The sequence below is a fragment of the Homo sapiens genome, chromosome 13, assembly GCF_000001405.40.
Source record: "Homo sapiens chromosome 13, GRCh38.p14 Primary Assembly".
Classification (NCBI taxonomy): Eukaryota; Metazoa; Chordata; class Mammalia; order Primates; family Hominidae; genus Homo; species Homo sapiens.
The window spans coordinates 105,956,026-105,965,971 of record NC_000013.11 but is presented as its reverse complement, the minus strand read 5'-3'; the positions used below and the strand labels follow the sequence as shown (position 1 = coordinate 105,965,971).

Here is a 9,946-nt window from a genome sequence, read left to right as displayed (position 1 = left end):
GGGGATACTATCCCTGGCGAGCTGAAGATCTTCATGGAGATGTCGTGCAAGTATGAGGTGTTTTGTGGGCCGCCTGTGGCAGACACACTGAGCTTTGTGTCAGGTTTCACTAGAAGAAGAGATTAAACAAAATGTAGATAGAACTAAACTAAATTAGTCCACTATTTTAGATTGTAGGCATTTGTTACTGAATTTTTCAGACTCTCTCAAATTTCTGGAAGGCTTTTGAAGATTACCTGGCTTTGTGATTTATCATTACTTTTTAAAATTTTAAGGATTTTTTTTTACTTTAATCCAAAGTAAGATAGTAGAAACTTTCTATTTTTAAATAAGTCATTAATTATGTATTAATCCAGTAATATTAGTGTATGTATTTTGAAATTAAGTCATACTATTTTAACTTAAATTGATTTCATCATTTTTTAATATACATCTAGGTAAAATTCACAAAATATGTATAAATCAATTTCTTAGCTTGGGATTGAAAACTAATGCTACCTTAATATCACTTACACTTAATACCACTTTAGCAACATAAATACAGGTTAAATTTATTTCATCCATAGGAAACAAAAGAGAGCATGCTTTAATCAAAGCTTTCACCTTCACATATGTTGTAAAACGTAATTTTATGTTAATATTGAGAATAATATCTCTTTACCTAATATAACAATAACTTTTAGGAGTTGAAATCAATTTGCTCTTATACATAGTAGTAGGTATATCTAAGAATATTTTAGAAACCATTAAGAAAAAAAGGCTGAATAGCTTTAAAAAGGTAGTGGCATCTTGAGATTAAGGAGAGTCGACTCCAGTGTTTAGAAGTTCTAGAGAAGATCAGATTTAGAAACTGAAGGTGAGTGCCAAGGAAATCTTACTAGTTAGGAGGCCAAAATCTCCAGGTGGGTTCTGTAATCAGGGCCATACACAGGCAGCCGCAGTCTGGAAGCAGGAAGGGGATTGAGGGGAAAGCCTGTGTGTCAGGGTGGGGGCATGCTCTAAACTGACTTAAGGGCGGCACACCCAGCAATGCAAGGTATGGGATCTTAAAATATCTTTGTCTAAGCTCTCAGAGCATAGGGGCAGGGTGGGGGAAGAACACACCAATGCCAAAAGGAAAGCTACCAATGCCGGAATCCAGGCAGATTTTTAAAACCACCTTGACCAGAGCTAGAAAATCTGATGCCTGAGAGGGTCATGAAGTGAACCACCGTGTGAAGCAGGCAGGTGTAAGATGAGCTGCTTCTGCTGCCAGTAGGAATAACACCGGCTTCTTACACCACAGCGCGGGCGTGCAGTGGACACTGCCAGAACATATAGAGGAGACAAGGTCCAGGGGCAGCAGAGCCTGACCTTGGATGACCTTGGACATGAAATAAGGAGTGTGGATTCAACATCGATGGAAAGCCTTTGGATGCTTAAACAGGTGGTGACACAATCTGGTTTGCAGTTTGAAAGAATGACTGTGACTTCCAGGTAGAGAATGGAAGGGAGGGTGTCCAGAGTGGAATTGTTTAGGCCAATTAGGAGGCCGGGACTGCTCCAGGTGCAACATGATGATAGTTGGGAGTAAGAGGTGGTGTTGGATGGGAGAATAGGAGATGCCAGATCCAAGTGGTATTCTGGAGGTGATGTCAGCAGGACCTGCTGAGCGAGGATGTGGTGGTTGAGGGACAGAAAGAAGTCCACCATGACTTCTGGTCTCTACCTTGAGTAAAGGAACAGATGCTGAAAGCAGACCTCATTTATAGGTGCTGCAATCTCGTTGTTTTAGGTCATCTGAACTTATCAAATAATCTTCTTGTTAGTGTATTCCTGTGAAAAACTCAAGCAACCATCACCAGCTAATACCATGCTTTCTCCTTACCACTGACAAATGTTGCCTCACTGAGAACCTAGAAACATCTTTAAATAAATCTTTGCTCAGGAATGAGTAGGCATTTTTGTCCCAGTGTCCTAAGTTTCTGTGGAATATTTTGACAGGTTTCATTCAAAGCATACTTTATTTTAATAATGAAGAAAGATGGCACAAGACACGAAATAGATAGAAAAAACAATGAGGTGATTTGAAGGTCTTGGTGCACATGTGCTGAGGGCAATGTGAAGACAGAGGTAACCATGCTATCTGTGCATGTGCCTGCATCCGAAAGCAAACCTGAAATGTCTTGAAGAAAAGTTGAGAGTTGGCAATGATGAAATCTCACTGTAGCATATAAGCTGTGTCCCATTACTGGGTATATACCCAAAGGATTATAAATCATTCTACTATAAAGACACACACACATGTATGTTTATTGCTGCACTATTTACAATAGCAAGACTTGGAACCAACCCAAACGCACATCAATGATAGACTGGATAAAGAAAATGTGGCACATATACACTATGGAATACTATGCAGCCATAAGAAAGAATGATCTCATGTCCTTTGCAGGAACGTGGATGAAGCTGGAAATCATCATCCTCAGCAAACTAATACAGGAACAGAAAACCAAACACTGCATGCTCTCACTCATAAGTGAACATGCAGTGTTCAAGCTGAACAATGAGAACACATGTACACAAGGAGGGGAATATCACACACTGGGGCCTGAAAGGGGAGGGAGAGCATCAGGACAAATACCTAATGCATGCGGGGCTTAAAAGCTAGATGATGGGTTGATGGGTGCAGCAAACCACCATGGCACATGTATACCTATGTAACAAACCTGCGTGTTCAGCACATATGTCCCAGAACTTAAAGTGAAATAATAAACAAAGAATATAAGCTGTGTAATAAGCACAGTGATAGAAGTTTGCATGGATTGTAAAACCACTCTACCTGGACACATATGAAGATTCCTTTGCTGCCCTTGCAGTACACTTTGAATCAGGACCAGACCTGGCTTCCACTCCTAATTCTGCCACTTACTATCCCTGTGGCTGCAGGAAAATCATTCATCTTTCTGAGTCTCAGTTTCTTTATTTGTAAAAGGTGGATAATAAGACCTACTTCGCAAGATTGCCATGACATTTAAAAGTACTCAATTTGAAGTGCCTACCACACCTATTTGGCCAAAAGTAATTTCTTTTTATTAAAAATTTTAATAAGATTATCCATTCATTTATTGCCTTATTCACAGACCTATTTGAGGCTCATTAACAGTTACTACGGACCAGGCTAGCCACAGCAGATAGGAAGATGAATGAAAGCCCTGCCTTGGCCTAATATTACAAAATAAATTCTAAACTTAATGTGCACTAGTGCTATTGGAACTAAAATTAGAAAAAAAAAAGATTATCTGGGAAGGCATGAGAAGGGATTGGAAGTTCGTTAGAGCCTTATTCAAAGCACAGAAAGTTAGAGAGAGGTAAATTGTAAAATGAAGGCAGGAAATGAACAAAATGAATGCAGAGAGTTGCATTGCATATGCAGGAAACGGTGAGTGGTCTAGTGTAGGTGCCATGTGGAGCATATGAGGGGGGTCAGACAGGAGAGACGGTAAAATCGAAGAGAGCAGGGAGTTTGGACTTCACGTGACACGGAGAAACAGATAAGTGTCATTACATTTCTAAGCCAAGTCTTGAACACTCAGCATATACGTGCACACCTTCATACACAACATCTTGGCATTTGCCATTTGAAATGGCTGGAATGTGTTTCACCTGCCCTTTACACTGGTAAAGAGCCCTTTTATGAGGTTCTTTATGAGGTACACTTGGCATATGCTAGGCGCCCATATGTAAAGTGTACAGTACGGTAACTTTTGACATACGTATAAACCTGTGAAAATGTCATCATACTCAGGACAGAGGACACATCCAATGTCCCCAAGAGTTGCACAGGCCCCTTCGTCATGCTTCCTGCTACCTCCTTACCTCCCTTCTGTAGGCAACACTGATCTATTTTTTGTCACTGCTGATTAGTTTATAATTTCTGGAGGTGTATGTGAATAGAATATTACAGTCTGTCCTCTCTTTTTTGTGGACTTCTTTTCCTCAGAGTGACTATTTGAGATCCATCCAGATTGTTTTCTTTATCAAGCATAAATTCTCCCAGTGCTGAGCAGTGCTTCACAGAATGAGTATGTTAGGATGATCTATTCAGTCCCCTCTGGATGGATGTTTAGCTTGTTTCCAGTTTGGGGCAACCATTATTTCCTCTCACTCCCACTGAGCAGACCTTAGTCACATGGTCACTCTGAATCTCAGGAAAGACGGGAAGCTGTCTTTGACCCAATTTCCCCTGAAGCAGGATGAAAAGGATGTGGTGGGCAGCTATTGCGTGTGTCAACCTGAATGAGCTGAGTTTAGCTTGGTACATTTGACTATTTCACCAAGCTAACCTTGTGGGCAAGTGACAGGAGGTGTAATGTGACGGGAACCTGTGTGGCTAGAACCACATCAAAAACAGGCTTCGGAAGAGCGTTTGAAACACAGGGACACACATGAACATTCCTGCCTCCAAGGCTTTCCTGACAGACAGGTAAGGCACATTCAGAATTTGAAAATCATTTTATATATACTGTATTCTCTCAAGCCCTGTTCCATTTTTATGATTTATAAAAAGTAAATTTGGACTTAATGAACCCTGTAAAACTCCTTTTAGTTTAACATCCATCAGCAAGATTGTGAAAGACAACATTCACACACTCACAGAACATGCCCGTGCCCTGGAACGGCAGACCCCAGGCTCTGTGTGAACCTCATGTACATTATTCAGATGGGAGTGTCCTATCATCGTCAAAATAAAAATGTTCTTGAAGCCCTTTTTAAACTTTAAAACTTCAAGATAGTGATCAAAACCTACAATTTCCTATCAGAAATGTAATGTCAAAAACAAATAACCCAATATGATAAAATAGTTTATTTTTTAAATTAGCAAATCTCAGTTATGGTATAGTAAAATTATCACAAAGAGAAATATTATACTGATATTATTCATATTTTTGGTTTTTACAAGTTAAATATCCATTTTTTTGTTACCTCCACCTTCCCATCCTCTAATGAGAATCACTAGCATTCAGACATGCATTATCAATATCATTTAATTTCACAGTGAAAAACATGACACAAGAAGGTATTTAAATGGTAGGCTCAGACACAGAGCAGTATAATGAATGCACATTAAAAACAACAGAAATTCCTTTAAAATGTCTAAGTAACTCCTAATCCTTTCTTGAGAAATCGAGATATTAATTTTTGACTTGTTCATTTTGTACTATTCAATAAACTACTTCAAGTAAATGAATAAAATTAAAAATCATTTCTAGGATTACATTTAGTGGAATGAGAGCAATGATGAAGCTTTTCCATTAAGTTCCAGGGGTGCAGTGAATATATTAGCTTGCGGTTGCCACCACGGCGGATCAGCATGAGGCAGCACCAATAGGCATGGAGTTGTTTACCCATCCTGTCCTAATTGGCCCCCTTAGGCTGTTGCCAGCAGAACTGGCTTTCTGATTCTAATGAGTAATGAAGGCACTCGGTATCTCATGCCAGTATCTGAATGGTGGCCCAGTCCGGCCCTTGCCAGGGTAAGCAGTGGTGGTGTTAATAATCATGAAGCAGCCTTGTGGAGCACCACTCTGAAATTAACTCTGCAATCACAACTTATTCCTAACCACTTAGTGTCACGAGTCGTAACAAATGTTGAAAATTACATCAAGATATTCAAATAAGTGATTTTAAAATGTTACTCAAGGCTTCATAGTTAGCATATTTTATCTAGGGAATTTAAGACAACTTATTGCATCCAGACAGTATAAAAAGGGTCTTTCAACGTAGATTTTGGTTTTTGCTAGAGGTGTGGAGAAAGAGTAATTGTACATTAACCTCTGCAGTCTTGCCCCCAGTCTCCCACACACTTTATAAAGGGAGGCGCGTCTCTGAGACACGGTCTGTGACCAAAACTCCCTGCTGTGTCATGGCATTAGGGAGAGCCTGGGAACTTGAGAAGTACTCCTGAAATGGAATGGAATATCCAGCTCTCCACATTCTATTTTATCAGTGTCTTCACTGCTCGGCTCATGCATTTGTTACTCTGCTTATCCATTCTCATGATACAATACGGCCAATGCACTAAGCACACACATCTTTGGCTTCCTTTACTTCAGATTACTTTTCCCTCCACTCTTCTTGAGCGAATTGTTTCCAGGGCAAAATCTGTATGTTTACCTTGATCTTTCTAATCACAGCTGTTCATTTCCCTTCCTTTCTAACCCTACTCTTCAATGTCAAGATTTCCAATGTGCTGACCCACTCCACGTTTCTAGTCTACCATTCTCTGCCTGAGGCCTGTATGGTCCCCATTTTCCCTTGATGACTTAGAGAATAAATTCAGTTGCAGACTCAAGAGAACACTTAATTTTCTCATTCCATTTGTATTTAACTTTAAAAAAATCAATATGAAAATCGACCCAAATATTCTCTTCCCAGTCTTCTTCTGGTTGAAAAAAATTTTTTTTAGTGGAGACTATTGAGACCAGTACGAGTTTCTTACTTGAAAAGCAAATTGTAACCACAACAGGACACCTCTACACACCTACTGGAATGGCTAAAGTTTCAAAAAGAAAGACTGAGAAAGCCAAATGTTAGTAAGGATTTGGAGCATCCATTGCTTGGGGTGGTGGGAACTAACAAAACCAACTTTGAAAACCGTTGGATGGTTTCTTTAAAAGTTAAACATTTGGCCAGGCATGGTGACTCACGCCTGTAACCCCAGCACTTTGGTAGGCCAAGGAGGGCAGATCATTTGAGGTCAGGAGTTCTAGACCAGCCTGGTTGAAACCACATCTCTATTAAAAATACAATAATTAGCCTGGCCTGGTGGCGGGCTCCTGTAATCTCCACTACTTGGGAGGCTGAGGCAGGAGAATCACTTGAACTCAGGAGGCAGAGGCTGCAATGAGCCGAGATCACGCTGCCGCACTCCAGCCTGGGTGACAGGAGATCTGTCTCAAAAAAAAAAAAAAAAAAGTTATTATATGACCTTGCCATCTTCATAAGATACATTTTTATACATAGTCCTGCAAAATTTTTGAAATAGCAATATCAGTTTGCTTTACTTCAAATCCGATAGTCCAGTTAGAGCCTACTGCAATATTACACCAAGTCTGCTCTCAATAATGTTAATAATTTCCTAACTGGTCCATTTACCTCCTCTTTCTAATTCTCTTCCTTGTTGACTCTTAGGCTATTTGACACTGTTGACTACAAGCTTTCTTTTTAAAGTTCTCATCTTCCTTGGTTTTTGTGATGTTATTTTGTTCCAGTTTCTTTTCTATCTTGAATATATTTGTTTGGGATACTTTCTTTTAATAATTAAAGGCAAACGCTTATGACTTCCCCAGTTTCTGCCCTGTGTCTTCCTTCTCTTTGCCTGTTTTAAATATTCCCATAGAATTAAAAAAAATACTTTGATGCCAATTATTACTAAATATCTAGAATAACTGTTGACCTTTTGCCTGAGATACAGATTGCAATTTTTCAGTGCAATTATTCCTGGCTGTGATGGTTAATATTAAGTGTCAACTTGATTGGTCTGAAGGATGCAAAGTATTGTTCCTCTGTGTGCCTCTGAGGGTGTTGCCAAAGGAGATTAACATTTGAGTTAGTGGAATGGGAGAGGCAGACCCACCTTCAATCAGCTGCCAGCACCAACTAATCAGCTGCCAATCCGGCTAGGACAAAAGCAGGCAGAAGAACGTGGAAGGACTGGACTGGCTAACTCTTCTGGCCTCCATCTTTCTCCCATGCTAGATGCTTCCTGCCCTCAAACATTGGACTCCAAGTTCTTCAGCTTTTGGACTCCTGGACTTACACTAGTGGTTTGCCAGGGGCTCTCGGGCCTTGGCCACAGACTGAAGGCTGCACTGTCAGCTTCCCCACTTTTGAGATTTGGGACTTGGACTGGCTTCCTGGCTCCTCAGCTTGCAGACAGCCTATTGTGGGACTTCACCTTGTGATCGTGTGAGTCAATTCTCCTTAATAAACTCCCTTTTTGTTTACATCTACTTTATTAGTCCTGCCCCTCGAGAGAACCCTGACTAATACACTAACAGTTCCACATACACCTCAAAATCAAAACCTGAACTTCGTGTCACATCAGCTAGAGAATCTCTTCCATCTGTACCATTTCCTTTCTGGCCAACAGCCTCAGTAGTTACCGCTAATGTAAGAAACAAACAACACCACCAAAAGAAAAAAAAACCCTTTAGTTAACTTTATTTCTTCACCATCCTTAACTGTACTCCATCCTTAACTGTACTCCCTAACACTCAGCCAATCAGTTACTTTTACTATAATCAAGAAAATAACATTAAAACAACTTTACTGCCATCCATGTCCGATTCTGCTTCGTCCAGGCTCTCATCTTTTCTCACCTAAGCTACAGTAAGTGCCTCCTGGCTGCTCTATGTTTATTCTTTTTCCTGCCCCAGACTAAACTTTCCATTACCAACAGAATCATCTTCCTAAATTACGACTCTTGTTGCAGTGATTTCCTACCAAATCTTTCCATGGTTATTCATTAACACCATGCTAAAAGCCCATTTATTAATACAGCATATCAAATAAGGATTCCATATCTGGCCCCCAAATACACACAATAAACATTGCTTATTGCCTACTTTAAGCCACCTCCTCCTTCTTTTTCTGCAGAATCCAATTTGTGTGAAGTGTCTGGATGAGACCTCTTTATCAGGGAAGCTGGGGCTGAGCTACTTGTTTAGTTTTGGGCATGTGATCTTCTTCTGCTGTATATTTTGGAAAACCTCATGGGAGTTTCTGGCAGAGATGTTCCTCTCTGCCTGAAGCCACAGCTCCTTGCATTTCAGCTTTTGAATGCAATAGTTAAGTCCTAATGCCTGAAGCTCTTGCGGACGGACTGTAGCCATAAGGACAAGCCAAGGGAGCTGGAGAGATGCCAGCTCAAAGCTGAGATGTCGCTAAACAACACCAGCAACATGCCAAGCCTAAGAGAATTTAGATTTGAGAAAAAATAGTCGCTATTTTAAAAATTTCCATTCACCGAATGAATGCCTTCCTGAACGACCCCTGTCTTAAGAGAGATGAGCTCCTACCATTCCCTCCCTCACTTCCCAGGATCAAGTCCCAGTAGTTTTCACTCTGTCTAGGGCACAGTGTTGCTCATTTTGTGTTTTGAATTACTACTATTATTTTGAGACAGAGTCTTGCTCTGTCACCCAGGCTGGAATGCAGTGGTGCGATCTTGGCTCACTGCAACTTCTGCCTCCCACGTTCAAGCAATTCTCCTGCCTCAGCCTCCTGAGTAGCTGGGATTACAGGCGCCCGCCACCATGCCCTGCTAATTTTTGTATTTTTAGTAGAGACAAGGCTTCGCCATGTTGGCCAGGCTGGTCTCGAACTCCTGACCTCAAGTGATCCGTCTGCCTTGGCCTCCCAAAGTGCTGGGATTACAGATGTGAGCCAGCATGCCCGGCTGAATTATTTTAATCTCTTGGCCTGGAATATTTTTCTCTGCCGTGTGGCCTTCTACTCATTTTGAAGATATACTCAGCCAAGGTTTCCTCCATGAAGCCATTACCTAGAGCTAGTTCAGATTTTCTCCATGTTTCTATAACCCTTGATATCTATCTATCTTCATTTTTGCCCTTATCTTTTTTATTATTAATTACTTTTGTACTAATATACCCTCTAAAAATTGAGTATATTGTCCACAAGAACTGCAGCTTATTCCTTTCTATATATATTTAGATTAGTTCTCAGTAAGTATTTGTGGAAAGCAACAGAGGAAGAGTAGTGAGCTAAACCTCCCTGTACGTGCATGCATTTTTCTACCAATCTATTCATTTGTTCTTTAAAAATATGCCTGGGTGCTTTCTATCCAGGTAAGCAGTGAATATATTTAGTTATAATAATTGATGTGATGGTCTTATACAACTTTATACTTTAACATACTATTATAGAATTCTATTTGTAGTTT

At 40.3% G+C, this 9,946-nt stretch overlaps 1 annotated feature.

Annotated features, from left to right (window-relative positions):
• Nucleotides 7,251-8,450: an enhancer, noted in NCBI's record as "BRD4-independent group 4 enhancer chr13:106609871-106611070 (GRCh37/hg19 assembly coordinates)". NCBI's record gives its function as "activates an origin of replication core promoter dependent on BRD2, P300/CBP, MED14 and CDK7 cofactors, and independent of BRD4, by STARR-seq in HCT116 cells {active_cell/tissue: HCT116}" and the evidence as "EXISTENCE:reporter gene assay evidence [ECO:0000049][PMID:35650434]".